The sequence below is a fragment of the Homo sapiens genome, chromosome 4 (genome assembly GCF_000001405.40).
Source record: "Homo sapiens chromosome 4, GRCh38.p14 Primary Assembly".
In the NCBI taxonomy this organism is placed as follows: Eukaryota; Metazoa; Chordata; class Mammalia; order Primates; family Hominidae; genus Homo; species Homo sapiens.
Window position 1 is genome coordinate 168717951 of NC_000004.12, and position 25997 is coordinate 168743947.

At 38.8% G+C, this 25997-nt stretch overlaps 1 protein-coding gene across 17 annotated transcripts in view, besides 3 other annotated features; it reads left to right on the forward strand.

Annotated features, from left to right (window-relative positions):
• PALLD (palladin, cytoskeletal associated protein) overlaps positions 1–25997 on the forward strand; it is a 431390-nt gene that overhangs the window by 220899 nt on the left and 184494 nt on the right. The window lies entirely within an intron of this gene.
• Positions 15444–15945: an enhancer, noted in NCBI's record as "H3K4me1 hESC enhancer chr4:169654545-169655046 (GRCh37/hg19 assembly coordinates)". NCBI's record gives its function as "activates a minimal SCP1, AML or CMV promoter by ChIP-STARR-seq in naive H9 embryonic stem cells {active_cell/tissue: H9 hESC(naive)}" and the evidence as "EXISTENCE:reporter gene assay evidence [ECO:0000049][PMID:30033119]".
• Positions 15946–16445: an enhancer, noted in NCBI's record as "H3K4me1 hESC enhancer chr4:169655047-169655546 (GRCh37/hg19 assembly coordinates)". NCBI's record gives its function as "activates a minimal SCP1, AML or CMV promoter by ChIP-STARR-seq in naive H9 embryonic stem cells {active_cell/tissue: H9 hESC(naive)}" and the evidence as "EXISTENCE:reporter gene assay evidence [ECO:0000049][PMID:30033119]".
• Positions 17731–18232: an enhancer, noted in NCBI's record as "NANOG hESC enhancer chr4:169656832-169657333 (GRCh37/hg19 assembly coordinates)". NCBI's record gives its function as "activates a minimal SCP1, AML or CMV promoter by ChIP-STARR-seq in naive H9 embryonic stem cells {active_cell/tissue: H9 hESC(naive)}" and the evidence as "EXISTENCE:reporter gene assay evidence [ECO:0000049][PMID:30033119]".

Sequence of the window (25997 nt, forward strand, 5' to 3'; positions counted from 1 at the left end):
CACTCTCTAGTACATACTTGCAATGTCAGTTGGCCACAGTGCAATCACACTGCTATTTCAAGGTGTGTGTACTTGACATGTTAACACCCCATCAGATGCCAGACTTGTGGTGAAGGGCCAAGAGCTTCTGTGCTACTCCCTTCCTGTCCTGTTTATGTTGGACTGCAGCTTCAACTCCAACGTGTGGCTTTGGCAATAGAACTTACAAAGTTGAACATTATCCCGTCCTTCAACCTCTACTAGTTAGGGTTCAAGATCTCACTATATTACTGTTTGACATTAGTATACAAATGGTTTCTTAGGTTCTGTTCTTGTATAAACCTTACCTGGTTGATTGAAAAGCAAAGCAAAATAAAAACAAAAAGGACAAAGACAAGGTAAGCAAAAACAAGTTGGGACAAAATAACTAACAAAGGGTCAAGGAAATGTAATCATTGAATGTACATAAAAGTATTTTAAAATCTAGCACACTTTTTTTTCTTAACCAATATTTCTAATTTTTTACATGTCTGCAACCTGTAGACTTAAATCATCCGTAATTTCCATGGAATTTCATGTATGTTCAGTTAGCTAGCCATTACTTTCATTTCTTTTCAACTTAAATTTGTTTTTTCTAGGTAATACAATCACACAGTTAAAAGTATAAAGAAATATATGCACTGAAAAGTCTGCCTCTCGGACTCAGTAACCAGTTGTCACTGTCTTGTGTATCCTGCCAGAGATTGTTTACATGCCTATCAAGCAAATATATACGTATATATAAAATGTGTATTTTTTCTTTTATTTTTAGACAAGTGCCTACCCACCACATATACTGTTCTGCACCATGCCTTTTCTATTTAGCAGTAGATTTTAGAGATGTTTCATGTGAGTAATTAAAAAGTCTTATTTTTAAGTGATTGTATATATTTATTGTAGAAATGATTGATAATTCCTTTCTCTATTGTTGCCAATCTAATTTTTTTTTTTTTTTTTGAGACGGAGTCTCGCTCTGTTGCCCAGGCTGGAGTGCAGTGGCATGACCTCAGTTCTCTGCAACCTCCGCCTCCTGGGTTCAAGTAATTCTCCTGCCTCAGCCTCCTGAGTAGCTGGAATTATGGACGTGTACCACAACACCTGGCTAATTTTTGTATTTTTAGTAGAGACGGGGTTTCACCATGTTGGTCAGGCTGGTCTCAAACTCCCGACCTCGTGACCCACCCGTCTTGTCCTCCCAAAGTGCTGGGATTACAGGCGTGAGCCACTGCTCCCAGCCACCAGTCTAAGTTTCAATGACCTAAGTAATTATCAAAAGTAATCTTCTTTTTTTTTTTTTTTTTTTTTTTGAGAAAAATTCTCGCTCTGTCACCCAGGCTGGAGTGCAATGACACAATCTCGGCTCACTGCAACCTCCGCCTCCTGGGTTCAAGTGATTCTCCTGCCTCAGCCTCCCAAGTAGCTGGAATTACAGGCACCCGCCACCTTGCCTGGCTAATTTTTTTGTACTTTTAGTAGAGACGAGGTTTCACCATGTTGGCCAGGCTGGTCTTGAACTCCTCACCTCAGGTGATCTGCCCGCCTTGGCCTCCTCAAGTGCTAGGATTACAGGTGTGAGCCACCATGCCCAGCCAAAAGTATTATTTAAAAAAGTTTTTCTTACTTGTATTTTAGGTTCGGGGATACATGTGTACGTTAGTTATATATTTGCCTGTCACAGGGGTTTGGTGTACAGATAATTTTGTCACCTGGGCAATAAGCATAGTACCCAATAGATAATTTTTCTGATCCTCTCCCTCCTCCCGCTCTCCACCCTCAAGCAGGCCTTGGTGTCTGCTGTTCCCCTCCTAGTTTCCATGTGTTCTTGTTGTTAAGCTGTCACTTCTGAGTAAGAATATGTGGTATTTGTTTTTCTGTTCCTGTGTTAGTTTGCTTAGGATCATGGCCTCCAACTTTGTCCATGTTGCTGGGAAAGACATGATCTTGTTCCTTTATATGGCTGCATAGTATTCCATTGTGTATATGTACCACATTTTCTTTATCCAGTCTACCATTGATGGGCATTAGGTTGATTCCATGTCTGTGCTGTTCTGAATAGTAGAACACCATTCATCCCCTCACTGTTAGTTGAACATCTGCAAAATGCTGGGTAATGTGGGGTGCTGAAAACACAAAGATGAAAGAGACAAGAGCAGTACCTTTGAATAATCTATAACCTGGTTATCTCTACGATGATTTTGGCAAGAACGTGCAGATGCATACACATATACACAAAATGCTGCACATCTTTCAGCATCATACAAATTTTGTAGAAGAATGGCCAATCCCTAAATTAGATTCAGTGCAACCCAAATGCCTTCTCTTCCCACTTTAATGTTTGAAAGATACATCATTCAGTTTTTGATTCTGAAGATTTAATATGCACCAGCTTTTGTTTCTGGTTAAGTGATTTTCATTATCCTCGAAGGCTAGTCAAATAACAAAGCAATTTAGTAATGGCAAAAGCATAAAGTGTGGACCAGAGGGGTCTTCAAAATATTAGGGAAGATAGAGCAGAAAACCATTTTTTTCAGTTTGTTGTTATAAAATTATACACACACTCTGAGTCACCAAACACATTGGAGGTTGATAAGGAACATAGGAGTAGTCACGGGTCCTAATTCTGCAGTACGTGGCTATGCGGGTATGAACTCTTCATAAATACAATGTGATGATGACTTTGCATTTGCATTTCTCTTCCTCCTTTCTCTCACTCCCAGTCTTAGATACCCGATTGTTCCATAAATCTTGTCTTAAGAGAAAGGCATATCCTATAAACTCATTCATGTGAAGGTATTTGCATTAGCAGTGTTGGTCTTGGATCACTTTGCAAACAACCCTTCCCTGAAAATGAGAAGTCCAATCAAGGAGCTTCCTGAAGTATAAAACTTTTTTAACTAAGTAATAACATTTAGGTGCATTCATCCTCATGATTTTTTAATGTAAATACTGGCTCTGACACAGTGCCACATTCTTAGATATTAGGCTAATTGTGCTTTGCTGTGCCAGTCTCTTGGTGAATGTAATGTTTAATTACATTTCCAGAAGAAAGCTGAGTTCTATTTTTATGATTAGGAGTTTTATTTGATGTCTGAAATATAATTGGAAATACTTGCAGATACCCTATCTGTGTTTGAAGTGGCACTCAATCATCCATAAGAAATACCATATGTCCATTTCAAATATTAGGTGTTTTACATGAAGGAATACATGATGATAACAATATTTCTTCAACATATCTTCATTTTACCTAAGTGCGTAGGAGAGCTCTTTTAGTAATTACAAAGTAAGGTGAAAATAGTCATCCCTACTGGGTAGAGACCTTTTATTTTAAAAGGGGGAGTGGCTAAGCTCAGAGATAAGATGGAGCCACATATGAACAATATGCTCATAGATAAAGCTATGAATTTGATGGAAAATATGAACAATATAGTGTTAAGTGAAAATAGACAAAATGATATATGTAACTTAATGTCAATTTTATGAAAAAATAAAAAATAATACACTTTAACCAACTAAAATGTATATTATATATTAGAAGAAAATACACCAAAGTGTAACCAGTGGTTCTTTGAGTGCTGGAAATTTGGGCAGATTATATCTTCTCATTAACTATTCCTGATTTTCCAACTTTTTGACATAATGCTTTTATAATTACAAAGTATTATTTTAAAATAAATAGGTACTTTTGATCCTTTCTCTTCCATCCTCCTTCCTCCATTAAACTTCAGTTCATTTGACTGTTCATCATGGATGCTTCTTGTTAAATAATAGTTGCTTGCTAAGTAAGCTTAATTTTGAGCACATTCAGAAGTGGAATGCTCTGGCACTGAATGTTCTCACCTCCCGTGTGGGATCTCCTTCTAGAAACCAATGACCTTCAGGATTCCATCTGGATTTTTAGAACTCTTCCTAGGAATCCTTCCCCAGAAAATGTCCTATATTCCAAAATAACTTTACTCCTCCACAAACACTGTTTTCCAACAACACCTGCCCCCACCAAACAAAACTCTTATCCCTTTAATTGTACATCTCAGGTGTTTAAATGAATATGATATGAATAAGCTATTTATGTATATATGTATGTATGTATTTTCAAGCCAGGGTCTCACTCTGCCACCCAGGCTGGAGTGCAGTGGTCTGTCACAGCTCATTGCAACCTTGACCTCCCTGGGCTCAGGTGATCCTCCTGCCTCAGCCTCCCAAGTAGCTGGGACTACAAGTGCACAACACCACACCCAGCTATTTTTTTTATTTTTTGTAGAGATGGAGTTTTGCCATTGTTGCCCAGCCAGGTCTCAAGCAATCTGCCTGCCTTGGCCTCTCAAAGTGTTGAGATTATGAGACGTGAGCCACCACACCTGGCCAATTTTAAAGTTAAAAGTAAACCAAATACTTTAAAGACCAACATTTACAGTATAATCCATACAAGGCCTTCCACAGAAAGTAGGATGAAAACTTTACCCTCAGAGACAATGGTGAAGGAGAAAAGATGCAATGAAGGCAAGACTAAGATTCCAATTCAAATAACAATAATGTCAGGAAAGTATGCGATGAAGGCATCTGCTGAAAGAGGAAAGACAGTTGTGGTAACTGTGGGTAATATTACAAAGCACGAAAAGGGTGGAGAACTAAGAGAGAGAAAGAATACCAAAAAAGGAATGTGTATATTTCCTGGCAATCAAGAGAACCCATTTGAATTTCAAGAGTGTAAACCCACATTCAATTCAGTGAGCATGGTTTCATGACTTTATTTCAGCAATAATGAGCACTGTGAAGGTAGAAACAGGACATATGTCTTTGGCAGTACTGGCACAGTGGGATGTTATGGTATTTAATTAGATGATCCTTGAGAAACATTACTGAGATTATCAGCCAAGCCGTGTGTAGGTTCAGAAAAGGAAACAGATTCAACAAGATTAAGGCTTGAGGGGAAAAGAGAAAGGAATCAAGAAAATGGAAGTTATACCAAGAATGAAAATGGGGAGTGTCAGATGAGAAAATATGGAGAGGGAGCAGTGGTTGTGATCAAAGAGAGGATTCTGAAAGTTTAAAAAACTTAAACTCTTTCCAAGTGATAAAAGAATGTAAGATGCATCTGTTCGAGTGGATAGTTTAAGTGGAAGTTAAGGTCGCAGGAGCAGAGGAAGTGGTCAGGGAACCATGAAGCCAGGATGTTAGAAGGAACATTAACATGGATGGTGGCCAACAGTGATGGCAGAAAACCAAATGCTAAATAGTAAAGTCACTGAGAAAAGTGAGGAAATGACCAAGGTTGTTGGTGACAAGCAGGGAAGACAGAATGACTGTAGGTGGAGTGCACCAACTTCAAAAGAGGAACAGATATTTCGTAGTGATGGCAAAACTCTTCTGAGAGTTGCCTTGGGAAACAAGGACCCTGCAGAACCCTCCTTGCTCAGAAGGATACTGAGGAGGCTGGAGACATCATCAGGGACAGCCAGACTTCAGTTAAGACAAAGCATTTCTAAGGAAAAGGTTTGAGGAAGCAGAGTTTGGTTAGAAACAGCCAAGGAATCCCATAGGCAATAGAAGAGATCTAGAAAAGGGATTCAAGGGAGAATTGGAGAAGGAAGATGAGGAGGAAGAAAGCTATAGTGCAGAGTTTTGCACTACGAACCTCTGGATGCTAGAGCAGATACAGAAATTCTGTGTCAGCATTCCTACTGTGTTGTGCTAGAGCACACTACTCTGTACCATCTGATGCTGAGAAGCAAAAGCATCGTCCTGAGGATCACTTGCTGCTATTTCATGAAGAGTGACTAAGATTACTTGCAGTTGGAAGGAAATAGAGCCATTTCCAATATAATTACTACTTACTTTTTAGCCTCCTATTTATTTTAGTTACGTGGTAGCACCATGATCCATTTTGTGGTTACTAACCTCTAAGTACGACTTTGAGTTGGGCTTTTTTTTTTTTTTTTTTTTCTGGTGGAGTCTCACTCTGTTGCCAGGCTGGAGTGCAGTGGTGTGATGTCAGCTCACTGCAACCTCTGCCTGCGAGGTTCAAGCAATTCTCCTGCCTCAGCCTCCCGAATAGCTGGGATTACAGGCACGTGCCACCGTGCCCAGCTAATTTTTTTGTATTTCTAGTAGAGACAGGGTTTCACCACGTTGACCAGGATGGTCTTGATCTCTTGACCTCGTGTTGAATTGGGTTTTTATTGAACAAGCCCAATTCCTCATTTGTGTATTTTAAAATGATTGTTCTCAACTAATGACTCTCTAATTCATATTTGCTTAATTTCATTTTATGTTTACAACTTTTACTACTAGAGAATTTATTTTTGTCTACTACAGGCTGAAATACATTAGGTTGACAATTTTTTTACCATTGATTTATTTTTTCTGCAAATGTGTGAGTTTTTCATTCATACTAATACATCACCTAATAGTGAGAACATTAGTTACAGGGAGGTTTATTTTAATTGGTTTCTATTACAAGTATGAAACCAGAGAGTTCATTTTCTCAACAAATCTGAGAGTGATTGTTTCCTTACCTGACTAAAGTGATGATTACACAAACCTTGTGGATGACAGTGGAGTCAATGTGGTTTTTAAAAAACCTTTTCCATATGTGACAAGGAATTAGATAGTATGTCATTTGATTTTAAGAATGATGAACATATTAAATTGATTCTGTCAAATGTAGATTTTTCTAAAATAAGTTGGCTGGATAAATCACGTCAATTTGAACACACACATCTTTGCTTCATTATTCAAAGAGAAACCATAATTACGATCAGAACCTCAGATTTTGCTCTAGGAGCATACCAGGTTCATGCCTTCCAACCTCTGTATGTGAAGGTTTCCTGGTAGGATGATACTGGCTCCTCTTGCCCAAGGCTGTCATGAGGATGCACACTCACTGCAAGGGTTTTTTATGGTGCTGAGAGGAAAGGCCTTCATAAATATGTACATTTACTTAATTTCTGTATCTACATTCCCACTGTGTTTTCCTAGAGCTCACTACTGTACACCATCTCGACTCTGAAGCCCTGGGAATGTCTGCTCTATGCTCTGCTCCATTTCACAATGTTCTTTAGGTCTGTTTTGTTATTTAAATGTAATGATGTATGTATCCACAATAGGTAGCATTTGAGAGACTCCAGCTGTGAGCCTCTGGATGTGAAGCTAGTGAAACAATTGAATGACTAACAGTTGAATGCCTAGCCAAATATTTTCACTTCACTTTATATGTCAGCAATGGAAAAGAGTAGGTGTAGCCATCGACTCTTCTTTTCGCTCAGAGAAGTTTATAAATAGGTCAAAAATGGGTAATTATATGCCTCAGCTACAATTTCAAACTTCTGCTTTCCTAGTAATTGCCATTAAATGAGTAAGTTGTAAAAGATTTCTGGAAAGACCACAAATATTTTCTTTTCCTTGTTTCTTTGTTAAAATAGTTCATATACCATCTGGTTTCGGGGATGTATCATTATGCTCAATGTTTGAAACAAAAAAACCCTAAAAGACATAAAAGGTGGCTTGAGTACAATGCAGTGAAAAAGAACAATATATTTTATTCTCTTTAATTTCTTTTTTTTTTTTTTTTTTTTTTGAGATGGAGTCTTGCTCTGTTGCCCAGGCTGGAGTGCAGTGGTGCGATCTCTGCTCACTGCAAGCTCCGCCTCCCGGGTTCACGCCATTCTCCTGCCTCAGCCTCCCGAGTAGCTGGGACTACAGGCACCTGCCACCACGCCCGGCTAATTTTTTGTATTTTTAGTACAGACGGGGTTTCACCATGTTGGCCAGGATGGTCTCGATTTCCTGACCTCATGATCCGCCCGCCTCGGCCTCCCAAAGTGCTGGGATTACAGGCGTGAGCCACCACACCCAGCCTGTTCTCTTTAATTTCTAAAATAAAGTTTTAGAAAAAACTAAAACTCTAAAAAGAGTAGCTTAGTCTTCCAAACAGTGCTAGTTACAGGGGCAAATTCTTGCTCCAGGTGACTGTTTTTATGTGCCTTCCCTTCCCTCATAGCCACTGCTTTCTTCAAAGGGCATCCTCTAACTCAAATGTGAAATATTCATGTGTATTTTTATTCTATCACAAAACAATTTTACACAGATAGGATTACTCATGATGAAGCATTCTAGAACAACAGCAAGAGTTTCACTTCATGTTTGTTGTAATTATTCTATCTTTGAAAAGCAGAAATATATGTGGTTATTATCATAATTAAGACTTCCTGATACTGAACAGCTGCCTTACTGGAGAGAAATGTTAGGAATTTTTTATTTTTACTAAAAACTGTCAGAAGTTTCTAAAAGGAATTAGATGAATCCTGAAGGTCCTGTAACTTGAAAAGTTGATTTACGCTGAGGACCCCATTTTCATCAAGGTATCAACTAGAGAGAAACTTGTATTTTTCTTATTTTGCATTACAATAATGCATCTTGCTTTTCTTTTTTATGAAGTGTTCACTTTATTTTTATTACTCCAGGTACCCAGGATCATTCATGCTCTCTTCTTTAAGGTGTTGTACACCTTGTGTTCAGTAGACATTTTTAATTTTTTTCTTCTCTGAGACAAGGTCTCACTCTGTTGTCCATGCCTGGCTAATTTTTTTCTTTTTTGTAGAGACAGGGTCTTGCTTTGTTGCCCAGGCTGGTTTCAAACTCCTGGCTTCAAGCGATCCTCTAGCCTTAGCCTTCCAAAGTGTTGAGATTATAGGCATGAGCCACCACACTCAGCCCAGGGTTCAGCAGACACTTTGAGAGGTCAGATAGAGTTCATCCTTCAGGCAGATGAGATGCTGTCCCTTTAAAAAAAAAAAATCAACTTCTATTTTAGATATAGGGGATACATGTGCAGGTTTGCTACATGGGTATATTATACCCATGTAGTGAATGTAGTATCCAATAGGTAGTTTTTCAACCCACAGCCTCCTCCCTTTCTTCTCCTTCTGGTAGTTAGCAGTGTCTGTCATTTCTACGTTTATGTCCATGTGTGCTCAATGTTTAGCTCTCACTTGTGAGAACATGCAGTATTTGGTTTTCCATCCCTGCATTAATTTGCTTAGGATTATGGCCTCCAGCTCCATCCACATTACTGCAAAGTACATGATTTCATTCTTTTATATGGCTGCATAGTATTACATGATGTATATGTACCACATTGTCTTTATCCAGTTGACCACTGATGGGCACCTAGGTTGACTCTATGTCTTTGCTACTATGAATAGTGCTACAGTGAACATACTAGTGCATGTGTCTTCTTGGTATAATGATCTATTTTCCTTTGGGTATATACCCAGTAGTGGGATTGCTGGGTTGAATGGTAGCTCTATTTTAAGTTCTTTGAGAAATCTCCAAGCTGCTTTTCACAGGGGCTGAACTAATTTACATTCCTACCAACAGTATGTAAGCATTCCCTTTTTTCCATAGCCTGACCAGCATCTGTTGTTTTTTGACTTTTTAATAGTAGCTGATGTGACATGGTATCTCATCATGGTTTTGATTTGCATTTCTCTGATGATTAGTGATAAGCATTTTTTCATATGTTTGTTGGCTGCTTGTATGTTTTCTTTGGAGAAGTGTCTGTTCATGTCCTTTGCTCATTTTTTAAATGGGATTCTTTTTTATCTGTTGATTTAAGTTCCTTATAGGTTCTGGACATGAGACCTTTGTTTGGTACATAGTTTGCTAATATTTTCTCCCATTCTGTAGGTTGTCTGTTTACACTGTTGATAGTTTCTTTTGCTGTACAGAAGTTCTTTAGTTTAATTAGATCCCACTTGTCAATTTTTGGTTTTGTTGCAATTGCTTTTGGAAACTTCACCAAAAATGATTTGCCAAAGCTGAGGTCAAGAAGGTTATTTCCTAGGTTTTCTTCTAGGATTGTTATAGTTTGAGGTCTTATATTTAAATCTTTAATCTATCTTGAGCTAATTTTTGTATATGGTGAAAGGTAAGGGTCTAGTTTTATTCTTTTGCATAGGGCTAGCCAGCTATCCCAGCACCATTTATTGAATAGGGAGTCCTTTTCCCCATTGCTTGTTTTTGTCAGCCTTGTCAAAGATCAAATGGTTGTTTGTGGCTTTATTTCTGAGCTTTCTATTGTGTTCCATTGGTTTATGTATTTGTTTTTGTACCAGTACCATGCTGTTTTGGTTACTGTAGCCTAGCAGTATAGCTTGAAGTCAAGTAATGTGATACCTCCAACTTTGTTCTTTTTGTTTGGGATTGCTTTGGCTATTTGGGTTCTTTTTTGGTTCCATATGAATTTTAGAATAGTTTTTTCTAATTCTGTGAAGAATGACATTGGTACTTTGACAGGAATAGCATTGAATCTGTAAGTTGCTTTGGGTGGTATGGGTATTTTAACAATATTGATCTTTCCAATCCATTAGCATGGATGTTTTTTCATTTATTCATGTTGTCTCTGATTTCTTTCAGTAGGGTTTTATAGTTCTTGTAGAGACCTTTCACCTCCTTGGTTAGCTGTATTCCTAGGTATTTTATTTTCTTTGTGAATATTGTAAATTGGATTGTGTTCTTGATTTGACTTTCAGTGTGGACATTACTGGTGTATAGAAATGCTGCTGATTTTTGTACATTGATTTTGTATCCTGAAACCTTTCTAAAATTGTTTATCAATTCTAGTAGCCTTTTGGTGGAGTCTTTAGGAATTTTCTAGATATCGAATCATATTATCAGTGAAAAGAGATAATTTGAATTCCTTTTTTCCTTTTGGATGCCTTTTATTTCGTTTTAATTGTTTTTTTATTTTCCCATAAGTTATTGTGGTACAGGTGGTATCTAATTACATGAGTAAGCTCTTTAGTGGTAATTCGTGAGATCTTGGTGCACCCATCACCTGAGCAGTATACACTACACCATATTTGTAGTATTTTATCCCTCGCCCTCCTCCCACTCTTCCCCCCAAGGCCCCAAGGTCCACTGTATCATTCTTATGCCTTTGTGGATGCCTTTTATTTCTTTCTCTTGCCTGATTGCTCTGGCTAGGACATCTGTGTCTTGCCTTTCTAAGATGAAGTTCTGTTTTAACTCTTGGTGATAGTAGTAAATGACCTAAATAAATTAGGTCCAACTAATTTAGTAAGCGACCTAAATAAATTGTGTTCCAACTAAAATGGGAAGTGAAATGGATAAAAAGAAGGTACACGTTTTAAATTTTGTCCAATTTCTTGGTCTTTTTAGTCAGAACAAAGGAGGAAGACACCAGCTGAATTCAGTTCTAGGGTTTTGCTAGGTACTACATCATGGGCAACTACTGTGCTTTTGCTTTGGATCTCAACCTCAAACTCCTGGGCTCAAGGGATCCTCCAACCTCAGCCTCCTGAGTAGCTGGGACTATAGGCATGCACCACCATACCTGGCTAATTTTTTTTTTTTTTAGAGACGGGGTCTTGCTATGTTGCCCAGGCTGGTCTTGAACTCCTGGGCTCAAGCAGTCTTCCTGCCTTGGCATCCCAAGGTGCTAGGATTACAGATGTAAGCCACTGTGCCTGGCCTGGGCATCTTCTTAAACATTGTTTTTCTCATGACATTTTCCTGCTCCAAAAGTAGTGCCTCTTAAAGGCAGGAAAACTCCCTCCCGGAATTCCCCATCATTCATTCCACCCTTGACTACTGCTCCCTAGGATCAATGCACAGTTGTTCTCCTAGGACTTCCCTTCAACATCATTCTCGTGTACTTTTACCCTCTTCTTCTCCTGGCTCCCTTGGTTCCTAAGTGCCATATATTTCACTTTTTATTTTATCGTCTCATTTACCAGAAGCACATTCTCCAGTAGCTTCCAAAGAAAGGGTACAGACCACATTAAGCTTCTAGACCCTGCTTGTCTGAAAAGTGTCTTTATTCTAGCCTCACACTAAACTGACTGTTTGGCTAGGTTTAAGAGTATGGGTTTTTCCTAAGAACGTTGAAGGAATTGCTTCATATTCTAGTTCCTAGAGTTACTGTAGCAAAATTCAGTGCCAATCTGGTTTCTAATCCTGTATATGACTGACTTTCATTGTAAAACTATCTCTTCACCCCTAGTACTTTGAAATGTTGTGATGATATGTAATATTTTTCAGAAATTATAGAAAATAGTGGGCCCTTTCAATCTGAAAACACTCATGTATATACATTCTGAAAATTTTCTTATTTTTAAATTTCTTCTCCATTTTCCCTGTTCTCTCTTTGTGAAACTTGTATTATTACATTAATAAAACTCCTAATTGATGTTCTCACTTTTTTCTTTTGTTGCCTATTTTTATTGTACTTTCTTTAGACCTCTTCACCTTTGTCTTCCAGACCTTCTGCTGAATCTGTTATTTCTGCTATTGTATTTTTAATTTCCAAGAGTTCTTTCTCATTCTCTATATTCTTTCATGGCATTCTGTTCTGTCTCATGGATGCAATCGTGTCCTTTGCCTCATATTAATCATTGGATTTTGGAGGAGGGAATCCTATTGTTATTGTCATTTTGTTTTGTTTTGTTTTTCCCCTGTTCCCTGCATTGTCTCTATTTCTTAAAATTCCTTTTTTTTGTTGTTGTTTTTCTGTGTGTGCATTTGGACTAAATTTCATGTTCGAGGCTTTCCATAAACATGGAAAGCGTGATCTTTGGCACCAGCAAGTTGATTGGAAACTATATGCTTAGCTAGAATGTGTCAATGGGCAGGCTTTACCCTAGGATTGGGCAAGACCCCCAAGTGCCAATATCTTCAGGTCTTGGGTTAATCAGTTTCTCTAGAAAGACAGATATTCAGCCACCTTCCTTGGGATGGTGGGGGTGGTTGTGGGGGCAGGTAACATGCTTGGCAGACAGCATTTGGAGCCTGAGTAAGGGAAGGGGGTTGGCTTTTATCATTTAGTAGACATATGCATCCATCTAATTCCTTACCCCCATTTTTCACCCTCTTCTCTTACCTGTTCATTCTGCTGTGCCAGATGTTTCCGAGTTTGAAACCCTTTTGGCTCTCCATCTCCATAAAGTGAGCTTTCTGTATTCTAGAGTAGTAGAGGAGGAATGGTTGACTACCTACAAGAAATGGGGGAAGGGATTCAGCTGCCTTCCTACAAACTTTCAGCCAGTCTTCTTGTACTAAGCTCCATTCCTCTTCCCCACCTTCAGAGGAATCTAGTGATCAAGGTTTCTGCTGCTCACGTTAGCATCCCTCATGTTTGATTCACTCTCTGTAGGCACTTGGGTTTTCCTCTCCTGATAAGTCAGTGACAACTCATCCTTTTACTTTTAATTCCAGTGAACTTACAGTTTCACAATCCGTTGCTCTCAGTTTTTTCACGATGAAGCAAGGAACAAAAATAAACACATCCATTCAATCTGCCATCTTTAAGTGGATGTCAATTTATGAGACTTCACAGCTTGTTTTTGAAGATGATTCTTTCCAGCTAAAGAAAGCAGTATAGGACAGACAGAATCTCCCCTATTCCCAAGCTAGATGACCTTAGATAAGCTACTCAGTGCCCCATTTCAGTTCCCTCTTCATTAAGAGGGAATCGTGACAGTACCTACTTCACAGGAGTGTGGTCACGTGAAATAATGTGCTAGCACAGGGCATGCCAAAGGGCAGATAGTCCAATTGATATTATCTGTCTTTGTTTTTGTTATTATTAAGACAATGTTCACAATGAATCCTTTGTTATTTGACGCACATATAGAAAGTTTCAGAAATAAGCAATTTGCAAAACTTGCAAAAAACTGTAAGTGAATTATTCCTCTGCTATGCTGAGTTTTCTTCCTCCACCTTCAAGAAGTGGCAAGGAAAAAAAGATAGAAAAATCACTGACCAATTAGAAGTTTTTGTTTCAATTCAGACCACCCTAAAGTTCCTGGAAATTGCATATATGAACTCTAGTAAGCTGAATACCAAAAATGAGAGGGAAGTAGCTGATACCAGGCTACAGATTGTGGGCTACAAAAGATTGATAAACAAGTGGTTCTTTTGTGCAAATTTAGATATGAAATCATGCAGAAAACACTTAACAGACCACTAGACAGAGGATTTTATGAGACATGTTACACATGGATGGTGAAAGGCTGAAAATTAATACTTAACTTGTCATGCTTTCTGCTTTGAAATGCTGGAGCCCTCCAGGAATTTTGTTTTAACAACCAATGGAGATATCATTAGGGAGATACTTCTGAATTCGCTGCATCTCATTCTGTGACAAAGTGCTGCACAAAGTAAAATGTACCTACCACTTTCATCCGAGTTTGTAGCGTTGGACAAATCCCTATTCCACAATATCATGTGTACAAAGAGTTTCCGAAGAACTTGTGGCATATTTCTTGTCAGTTCTCTTGAAGTTCTCATTTCCCCTTTTCCTCTCCTACGGGCAGGTGATTGATTGACTTAGAGTCAGTGCTGAGTAGTAAATAACTTAAAAAACAAATCTAGAGATGATCTGGAGAAGGCTCGAAGAAATGTGATATGTATTATCTGGGATAGGCCTAGAATAACCTGAATTTACAATGAAGGAGCCCAGTAGCCTTTTCTAGAAAGCCGCTTGCTCTTCCACTCTTGTTTCCTCTTAGGCAAGAGAATATCACTAGAAGCTCAGAAAATTCAGGATTGATTGGAAATGTTTAAAAAGTGAAAATAAACACAAATATCTATAAGGCTAGGAACATAACCAGAAAACTCAGAAAAACATAGGGGCTTAAGGATGTTCCAAAGGTAAAAATGACCTCAAAGTGAATTTCTTTCTTTTCTAATCTCGACGTAATTCAGTTCTTATTCAAGCTGAGACTACCCAAAGACAAAAATGTTGCACTGATTTAAAATATGACTCATCAGAACATTAAAATACTTATGATACAGATTTTTATACAATCCGATAGTCTATTCCTCACAACTCATTATTTGCTCCCTTTAAAATATTTCACAAAGAAAGTCTTAACCAGAACATGATCATGTAACTAAGAGCTCCACATTCAGTAGTAGGATAGGTCAGAAGACTTACAGGGATGTTCCTCATGCTTACAAAAAGAAATTTGATATTGTGTGATAATACACGTAAGCTAGAAACTTGTGGTTAAAAGAAATGTTTAGGACTCATGTAAGCATAGGTTCTTGGTATCTTTTTTTAACTGATATATCATAGTTGTCATTTTGGGGGGTACATGTGATATTTTAATACATATATAATGTGTAACTATTAAGTCAGGGTAATTGAGATATCTGTCACCTCAAACATTTATCTTATGTTGGGAACATTAAAATTCTCTTCTTTTAGCTATTTTGAATAATTTATTGTTAACTATAATTTCCTTACTCTTCTATCAAATCCTAGAACTTTGTATTTTTGTACCCATTAACCAACTTCTTAATTTAACCTTTAAATAAAAATATTTTCATTCCTAACCCTGAAATTCTACAAATTTACTGCTTAGGGATGACTCCTGCATGTTTTCTCTTCCTTTTAAGTAGACAAGTTCTAAATCTTAGCTGACTTTCATTAGCCATTTGACTAATCCCATTTTTTAAAAGTGTTTGAGATGGGTTGAAAAATATGACCAATGTGATGAGTACAACTTGATCATAATTGTAAAATATTAGTGTGCTTTAGGTGTTAGCAATTAAGAAAATGTGAAATGTTTTATTTCTTTTCTTTCCTTCCCTTTTTTTTGAGGGGCGGGGGTGGGTGGGTAGAGACAGGGTTTTGCTTTGTTGCCCAGGCTGGTTTTGAACTTCTGGCTTCAAGCGATCCTCCCACCTTAGCCTCCTGAAGGGCTGGGATTACAGAAATGTTTTTTGTTGTTGTTGTTGGTTTTGTTTTATTTTTTTGAGACGGAGTCTCGCTCTTTTGCCCTGGCCGGACTGCAGTGGGTGCTATCTTGGCTCACTGCAAGCTCCGCCTCCCAGGTTCATGCCATTCTCCTGCCTCAGCCTCCTGAGTAGCTGGGACTACAGGCGCCCGCCACCGCACCTGGCTAATTTTTTTGTATTTTTAGTAGAGACGGGGTTTCACCATGTTAGCCAGGATGGTCTCGATCTCCTGACCTCGTGATCTGCCCGCCTTGGCCTCCCAAAGTGCTGGGATTACAGGCGTTGAGCCACCACGCCCGGCCACAGAAATGTTTTAAGTAGTAACATGATTGTTAAAATCTCAAATCCTGAGTATCTGAGATATCGGTTTGATACTTAGAAAATCATGAGCTCTGGAATCATTTTTCAAATGCCTATCTAGGATTTGAATTGGCATCTTAATTAGTAACATCAGTGTTAACTATGGCAACTCATTTGTTTCCCAAAAAAATTTACTATTTTAAGGTTAAATATAAAATAACGGTATAAGTCCTGGGTTTGATTTTTTTTTTTTTAAGTGTAAAAAGTTATCTGTGTTCAGTAGGTGGAGAAGCCAGCTACATCCTGCTGACACAAAGCTAATCAGTGGCTTGACAACTCTAGTCAAACATCCACATAGAATGTCTTGGCCATAATCTATGTGTCTCCTGTATTGTTTTTGTTTTAAAAGATTTGAGAGGAGGGGATGTGGTGGAGGAATGGTGCAGCTCGAAATTGCACGTAGTTGCCAATTTTCTTTTTTCTAGTTTGAACATATTTCTGCTTTGAGCTTCTTTCAGCTCAAGTGAGCCATTTTCACCTATTATTTCATCTGTCTTGCTCTGTCTTCAATCTTCATTAGCCGTTACTATGGATAAGCTGCTGTAAACGTTTTTAAAAATCACCCTCAAGGAGTACAATATTCTATTAAAAAATGACCTTTCCAGGAAACTAACTAATAGCATTAGAAAATTAACACTATTCCTTTAAGCACTAAAACTGAAAAGGAGAGAAGGAGGAGGAGGAGCCAGGCATGGTGGCACACGCCTGTAGTCCCAGCTACTTGAGAGGCTGAGACAGGAAGATCACTTGAGCCCAGGAGTTCAAGGTTGCAGTGAGCTATGATGGCACCACTGCACTCTAGCATGGGCCACAGAGCAAGACCCCATCTCTTAGAGAGAGAGAGAGAGAGAGGAGAAAGAGGAGGGAGAGGGTGATGCTAGTAGTAGTAGTGTAGTAAGGATGGCAATGTTCTGAAATGTCTACTTTTCTATGTAATAACTGAAATTTTTCTTGGAGGCTGAGTCATTCTCATGAATATCAAAGATTGAGCCTGTTATTCATTGAAGAGCTCTTGCAATATAATATTTGATTCTGTTTGCCCCCTAAACAATGTCTTACTCCTATACAATCAGCACGGCCACTGAGTTCAAAAGTTATGTGCTGTCCCCATTGGCAGACAGGCATCCGCACCACAGACTAGACTGCCTGTCCCCTGCCCTCACTGCTCTCGCCCCACTGGCCTTTTCTCGAGGTCCCGGCCCTCACTTCATCAGTTCCATTCAGTATATCCCCCAAACAGCATTTCCACTCAGCCTGCCAAGGAGAAGGAAAGAGAGTATTTAGAATACGTCCTTCACTTTCCTGAGAGAACAGCTTTAAGAAAAGAAAACGTCACTCCTACTCATGTTAACCACCTATTGCCATATAATAGAACACATTCTTATGCTCTCTGAGCCTGTCTCTTTTCTTCGTCTCACTGTTTCTTGACGGTTATGTTGCAACCTGAGGCAGAGTGTCAGAAAGAGATGAGAGGGATGGCAAAAACCCATTCATACTTTGAGACTCCTTTTCTCTAATTTTTAAAGCTTTTTCTCTCCTTCCATTAGATACTGTTGTTTCTGCGTGCTTCTAGTATACATAGTCAACAATCATGTTGGTGAAAACTCCCTCAGGGCCTTTTTTTCTTTTTTCTTGTTCTTTCTCTTTTCTTCCTGGCTGGGGGCAGTATTTCAGCTTTGGGTTTTCGTCTTTGATGATTGCTGAAAGTCTGTCTTCTGAACAAGCGAGGATTAGTTGTATCCGTTTTGACTCTGACTTTCTCTTTCCCTGTTCCTCTACCTCCCACATTTGCAAATTACTTTCATTGCCACTCTGTGAAAAGCAGAATTACTCCTATTAATAGCTGGGCACTTGACTAACATTCCACAGGTTAACCCAAGCTTTGCCAAAAGGAAACAGCATAGAAAGACCCAGAAACTCTCCAGTGATGTGGTATCAGTGGAATAAGCTCTGCCACTGGAGCTCATTCAGTGGCTCAATGAGTGGCAGAGCTTGGGCAGCAATGCAAAGTCTTCCTGTGACCACATCTTTAATTTGAGTCTATTCGTTGCCGCAATTTTGCTTTTGTTTTTCCTTTCTCAAAAATGGCCTCATTTTGTGAAAACAAAGTGTTTGCACTGATAATTAATAATTACTACACTTTTATTCTGGTATGTATACATACTTAGAAAGCATCACACATGCATGTGTGCACACATACACACACACAGTGTGTATGTATTGGTAGCTTAGGCCTGGGTCAGTAGCTCAGAAACATCAGAATGCATTTGAAGGCTTTAGCCTTTCCTTCATGATTAGAAGATAGCTGTAGCTGCTCAAATACCAAGTGCTGTCACCATCTCCAGAGCAGGAAGGATGGGGCAGAAGCAATACATTTTGTGAGGCTCTGCTTATTTTATTCCGAAGTCCTTTCTGGGAGACTTCTTAAGTGCCATTGAACACAACGGTGTCTCGGGTCAATTTTTAGTTGCAAGAAAGGCTGGGAAATAATGATCCAGCAAAGGCGAATGGAATCCTCATGGAGACCAGGTATAACTCATTCCTGGACTTGCAGAAGGCCCTAGGTGCAAAGGATCTCCATCCACCATCTGAACATCAGGATTCCGCCTGGGTGGAGATGGCTGTGAGGGAGCTAACAAGCGGAACAGCATCTCCCACAACATGTTTTAAAACATTCACAACACTGACCCTCAAGTTTGTGCTTCCAATTGCTAGTGACCTCAGTGTCAAAAATGTGCTGACAACTGTGATGAAGAGACAAGGAGAGAAAAACAGACCCTCAGGAGAAACAGTGGGAGGGGGAGGGGAGTGGTTATTAACGTGAAGTTTAAAATATTCAAAGATAGGAAACGAGAAGCTTAACGTGATTGTCTACAGTGGTGTAAAGAAGATTTATATGTGTGTGTTCTTCTTTTCAAAAGGCAGATTTAGGTACCTTTTGGAGCACAATTGGAATATGCAAATTGCTGACCACAATTGCTATAATGTATTACATTCTATGCATGCAAAAAAGAATACCAGGGTTTGTTCTCTCCTCTTTTAAACACCCAGATTTAATCTGACCTACAAAACAAATAGGGCTAAAACACTGGGCACGTTTATCAAGTCTTCAAAAGAATGGAATAGAGGCTAATGAACAAAATGCTCACATCCCTTAAGATAACTCAAAGATTCTTGCTATAGCACATTTGGGGCCTCTTTTTTTTCTTTTTTATAAGTCAAATGATATGCAAGTAACAATATTTTTGAGTGCCAGATGGAGAAGACATCTGTAGAGTAAGAAACTAAAGAAAACACACTTCCAAGATTAAGGCACATTAGAAGAAAATTGTTGGCTATGTGAGTAATGAGGAGTTTGGAAAGGGTTTTCTCTATGTACAACATGCTCACTTACTGGGTGACACAAATGGAAGATGCCAATTTGTTTTTTTGGTTTTTTTTTTGAAAACAGTTTTCTTTACTAAAAAGGGGCTTTGCAGTCAAACAAAAGCACACTACTTTGCTTTCTTTCCTCATCTTTTCTGCATTCCTCAGTGACATTCTGATTGTTTCCATGAAGGTGTGGCAGTTTTGTCAATCTCCCAATATATGCTTAGCCTTTCAAAGAACCTATCTTTGTTCCTTGTGTCTATGGTGACCGTCTGTTAGTGACGAACAGATCAAGGTCAAGTAAGAAAGAGAAGAAATAATTCGGCCCATACCTCTAACCCTTCCAAAGGGCGTAGCTTAGTAGTTTAGTAGTTTCGCTTCAAACACTGAGGACAGGGTGATTGCTGAGATGCTGTGGCAGTGGTTTCGGGCTGAGCAAAACACGCATAGCATGCTGACCAGAGACAGCAGCAGCTGTGAGGCTCATCTGTTTCCCAACACATTTTCTAGACTGTGAAGTCCCCTTGGAGGAGGACTGTCCATGAATTCCAAGCATGGAAGGAATCTGACCATTCTTTTTCATTTTAAAACCACATTACCTTTGTCCTAGCCTTCAGCTTTCAAGGCCATTTCACTTGGCATTTTTCATTGATTTGTGGCCAGAAACTGATGTGAAAAAGGAGAACTTAAAACCTGTTATTAGTCAGGGTTTGGAATCAATTATGCTTCAAGAGTCATTTTCTATAACCAAGATTTCATTCGCAGAAGACATACACTTAGAACAATGGCTTGATCATGGATTGGGTGGGGGTGGAGGACAAGAATGAAAGAGGACTGAGATGGCTGAAGGAGCCTCTATGGAAGACACAGAGCATACACGAGACTTGTATGTAGCAAGCGTTAAGAAGAGTCCACAATGTTCGATAATTTTTATTTTGTTTTAATATGTGTTCTATCTACTTTTCATTTTTTATTTTTATTCTTTTGAGATGTAATCTCACTCTGTCACCCAGGCTGGAGTGCAGTGGTGAGATCTTGACTCACTGCAACCTCCGTCTCCCAGGTTCAAGCAATTCTCCTGCCTCCGCCTCCCAAATAGCTGGGATTATAGGCGTGTACTACCATGCCCGGCTAAGTTTTGTATTTTTAGTAGAGACGGGGTTTCACCATGTTGGCCAGGCTGGCCTCGATCTCCTGACCTCAGGTGATCCGCCCGCCTCGGCCTCCCAAAGTGCTGGGGTTACAGGCGTGAGCCACCGCGCCCGGCCAGTCCTTCTTAAACTCTTATTCACACCCAGCCCAACTACAGCAAATCAATTCCTCCAGTTTTCATTATCTTACTCTTTTTTTATATTAATACCTAGCATATCAAAAATTACAGATGGCAACATTAATGAGTACTGTATAATATTTCTTGAAAAAAATAGTTAATTATAAAGCTTTCTTAGAAATAAAAGGAAAAGACTTTCAAGCATAGAGTCCAGGCAGGTATCTATCATTCTGCTTTCTTCCTTCATGGAATCAACATTTTTAGTTCCCATGTATGAGTGGAACATGCAATATTTGTTTTTCTTTGTCTGGATTATTTCACTTTACACAATGATCTCCCATTCCATTCATGTTGCTGCAGATGACAGCCTTTCGTTATTTTTTTATTGCCAAATTGTATTCCATTGTGTATATATACCACATTTCTTTATCTATTGGTCCATTGATGAGCATTTAGGTTAATTCCATATCTTGGCTACAGTGCTGCAGTAAACATGGAGGCGCAAGTATCTCTTTGATATACTGATTCATTTTCCTTTGGATCAGTACCCGGTGGTAGGATTGCTGGATGGTATGGTAGTTCGGTTTTTAGTTTTTTGAGAAATCTCCATACTGTTTTCCATAGTGGCTATACTAACTTACATTCCCACCAACAATATATAAGTTCCCTTTTCTTAGAGGCTGGGAAGGGTTTTTGGAGGAAGATAAAGAGAGCTTGGTCAATAGGTGAAAACATCAGTTAGAAAAAATAAGTTCTAATGTTCGTTAGCAGAATAGGGTGACCATAGTTAACAGAAAGTTGTTGTATATTTCAGAATAGCTAGTAGACAGGATTTGAAATGTTCCCAACACAGAAATGATAAATACTTGAGCTGATGAATACTCTAAATACCCAGACTTGATCCTTACACATTCTATGCATGTGACAAAATATCACATATCCCCCATTAATATGTACAAACACTTGCATCAACTTTTTAAAAGTCCAGACAAGAAAAAAGCCCATGTTGTTGATAATATAGAAGTTGCAGTCCTCTCCATCACACACGTCATAAAGGCAGCACCAGAAACAAGCCATTGCCCAAGATAAGGGTACCTATTTACTGCGTGAATTTTTGTTTCAGGTTTACTTTATTGCTGCTCTAATTAGAATTCTTGTCCCTTTGTTTCACACTCGTAGCATGTATTTATGTCATCTCTTCTCTGATTTGAAAGATACCATTGTTTCAGCTTAAAACAGCCCCTGGTTTGAAAGTTGCACGGGATGCTTATATAAACAACAGGCAGCATGATAATTCATTGCTTCCTCTTAATTCCCATGTTAGTTGAAACTGGAAAAAAAATGACACATGCCATTTTTAATAGGTAGTTGAGCTTCCTGTATAAAAAAAAAACTTGTAAATTTTGTAATGCTTCTTGGGACATATGTCAGTAATCATCACATGGTTTCAAGCACTGGGAAACATCTTAAAAGATGCTTTAAAGGATGAGTTACAAAAGAAGAAAAGTAGTCACAAGATTCTCTATAATCCCTGTTTGGTCACTCTACATTTTCCTTCTGAATGCACTTTTTGAGAAAGTAAACTTACTTCTTCTCTTCAGTGTCATCTGAAATTTTGATACTTTAAAGAGACCTTTGCAGTTTTGAATTTTGAATATAATATTCCTCAATGTATGAAAAACTACATTAAAAATCTAACTGTGGATGCCTATACTTGAATTAACAAGGAGTTTCATCTCCCAAAATTTCCTCATGCTGTGGTTTTTTTTCTGAGCTGGAATTGACAGATACTAAGTTTCTTAGTCAATCTTGCAGGCGCTTTCAGAATAATTAAGCCTGAGACTACCAGAAAGAACCATTAAAAATTAGAATCAGAGTTGGTGGTATGGAAAGTTCTTTTGAAAGATGGAAAGTTCTTTTGAAAGATGGAAAACATTAATTTAAAAGAGTTCAAGAGTTTAAGCCAAAAGAGCCAGTCAGGTTATGGAGCAAAAAAACTCTGCAAGATTACCACAACTGTACTTCTCTTTGAATAGATTTTCTACTGCCAGTTATATGAAATGGATATAAATCCTCCCATTCCAACAACTCAGGAACTTACTTAAGTGCAGGGTACGATAGCAACTGCAAACGAGTCTAAGAAAATAGGCTGAATGTCATTAAAATCCTTTGAAAATGTTCTGTGACATCTGTTTTCCATTTTGCTATGCTGTTTAATTAACTTCAGTCTTGCAGAATTGCAGAAATCTTATTTGTTCAAAATAGTATCTTGAAGGAAGAGAAGTTTATTTAATAGAGAAGACTGTTAAGTGTAATACGGGCTTGATTAACTTCATCTCAAGTTTTAAATGTTTCCCATTGGCTTCATGATCTATCCCTATATATGGCTCATTTCCATAAAACTAAATCAAACTCTGGATGGCGGATCACTCTTATCCAGTTGGTACTGCTGTCATGTTTCAAGGACACCAAAAATGGAAGAAATTACAGAGAATAGTGACAATTCAGAAACTATTCTTATTTGTCTTCATCGCTATAATATGAGGTCACTGGCTCCTGAGCTAGTGAGGAAATCCAAGTTCTAAAAAACATTCCTTCCTTATATTTGTTTTTTTTGTGTGTGTGTGTGTGTGTGATCTTTTTGATAAGAATAGTTGTCAAGGCTGGGCGTGGTGGCTCACGCCTATAATCCCAGCACTTTTGGGAGGCAGAGGTAGGAGGATTGCCTGAGGCCAAGGAGTTTGAGACCAGCCTGAGCAGCATAGCAAGACGTCAAGACCATGGCTCTTTAAAAAAAAATAAAAGTAGCCGGCATGGTGGCTCATGCCTGTAGTCCCAGCTACTCGGGACAGTGAGGTGGAGGATCACTTGAGTCCAGGAATTCAAGGCTGCAGTGAGCTATGATTGTGTCACTGCGCTCCAGCCTAGACGACAGAGTACAATCCTATCTCAAAAACAAAAAACAAACAAAAAAGAATGGTTGGAGAGAGAGAGAGAGAAAGAGGAAAATAAAAAGAGCAATTCATCCTGCAAAGACCTAGAACATGAGTGCCTCTTCTGATGAGGCTCAGTGGTCCTGGAAAGCTCCTATTGGACAAATCTTGGAGAATAAACAGAAACATTTTGGAGAGGTGGGAGAGCGAAGGAACCAGTCTTCATTGACAGCTGACTTTATTTTTCGATTTGTCAGAGCACGCCAAAGCCCAGTGCCCTGTGACCAGGACAAAAGGGGAAGTGGCTGCATTTTGACATGTCCCAGCTTCACTAGAGAAAGCCCACTTGTTTCTGACTTTCCAGTGCGGGCAAAAGCTGGCAGATCCACCACCTGTGCTCTTGCTGCCCAGCATCTAGGGAGCTTTGCTATTCTGAGTGTTTCTGAGGAAGCCATATGGATGGTGCTCAACTGGATTTTTCTACTTAGAGGGCTTTATGGATTTTAATGTAGAGGTCGTGGCTTCTCTGCATCACTGGCAAGTGTTGTCCATCTCTCCGTCCTTCTTGAGTTCCATACCCAGTGCATCATGAACAAATCCATCTTTTTTATCTGACCTATGCTGTGTCTACTCTCTCAGCTCCTGCTTTTGCTTATCCCTCAAAGGGGAGGTGTTCTTAGCTCTCTGACCTCTGGGTTGATACAGAGGCCAAATTTATCCCAGGGAAGGAATAAGTACATTTGAAATAAGTCACTGAGAGGAGAAGACTGTGTGTTTTAAAGCCAGGTTTGTTTAAAGTGTTATGATAGTATTAAGATGTTCTTTCATTTTCATAGAAGTACTTCATTTGGCTAGAAGGTCAAATGCCTGGTGCTTTGAGGACCTGAACAGTTTCTGTTCCATGAACATACCGGACTCAGGAGTTCTTTTGCTCCAGATACTAAGTTATTAGAACAGTGTTTCCCAACTATGGTGAAAGAAAATCAATAATCAGAATTTTTTAGTAGTTTTCAGTATTTCAAAAGATCTAGTTCGTTTCACAGTTCAACTGAAATGATGGGTGTATTTGCATCTAGTGGCAATCATATTCACTATGTTAACCCTACATATGTTAATCATAAGCTCTGATTGACAGTTGTATATTTTCTGTTTAGCACTAAATAAGGAAAGAATTCTAGTAATTTATTGAATGTAGTTGGATTTCCTTCAGACTACAAAGAATGCCTTGACAATCTCACTCCCTCCTTTTGATTTTCAGTGATTCAGGTCATCTGGATTCCTGGCCTTCCTCCTGCTATTCTCTTCTGTAATCTCCATTTGCCCGACCACCTCCTACCATCTTTTAGTTTAAACGCCATTCTCTGCCTTCCAGGAGCTATAGACTAGAATAGATTGCCTTCTGTGTCCTCCCCAGCAGTAGAAATTTCTACTGCGTGATAACTCTCACGCAATTACTCTCTCAGGGTTCTCTGACACCAGAGATTGTGTTATATCTTATTCTTTACCTTGCCCCAGCCCCTGCCCTGGTGTTTGGCACATAATCTACACTCAATAAATATTTCTTTGTTTAATGGGTGGATTGAATTCATTGTCACACTGAGTGACATCCATCTGGATGCTTGATTACACCACGCGGCTATCATATTCTGAAGGAACATGATATCTATGAAGATCTCAATCATGGTTTAATCCCCAGCAACTAGCACAGTGTCTAAGACAGAAACTTAATATGGTTCAATTACTTTCGAGATTTTTTTTTTAATGGGGACACTACAGATTTGGATAAAAGACATTAATGATGATGTTTCCTGTCCTATCACTAGGCAGTTCTATGAAAAGGCACTCCTTTTTTCAAAATTCCAACTTATAATGTAAGATTTGATGGGTTTGTTCAATTCCTACTAAGTGAGCAGTACCATGATTTTAGGTCTGTAAGTAGCTTAAAGTTAAACTTAGAACTTTGGTTGGCGATGCTCACCCTGGTCTCTGTTATGGATAACAGTTTGAATGAGGTTGATGACTGGGTCTTTTAACTTGATGTCCTTGTTTATTTTCTGCTTGCTTTGTTTGGTCAGGTCTGGCATGGAGCCGAAAAATAAGAGCTTGCTTGCAGTTTGACTTTCACTGTGATTCAGTTTTGCAATCTTTTAAAAACATCCTTCAGGAGACCGCCATGTATCTATCTGTGGACATCTCCCAGATTTTCCAAAACAAGCACAAGATAAATAAGGGGGATTTGGAAATTTCCAAATTTTAACAGATGGGAATTTGCTTCCACTGTC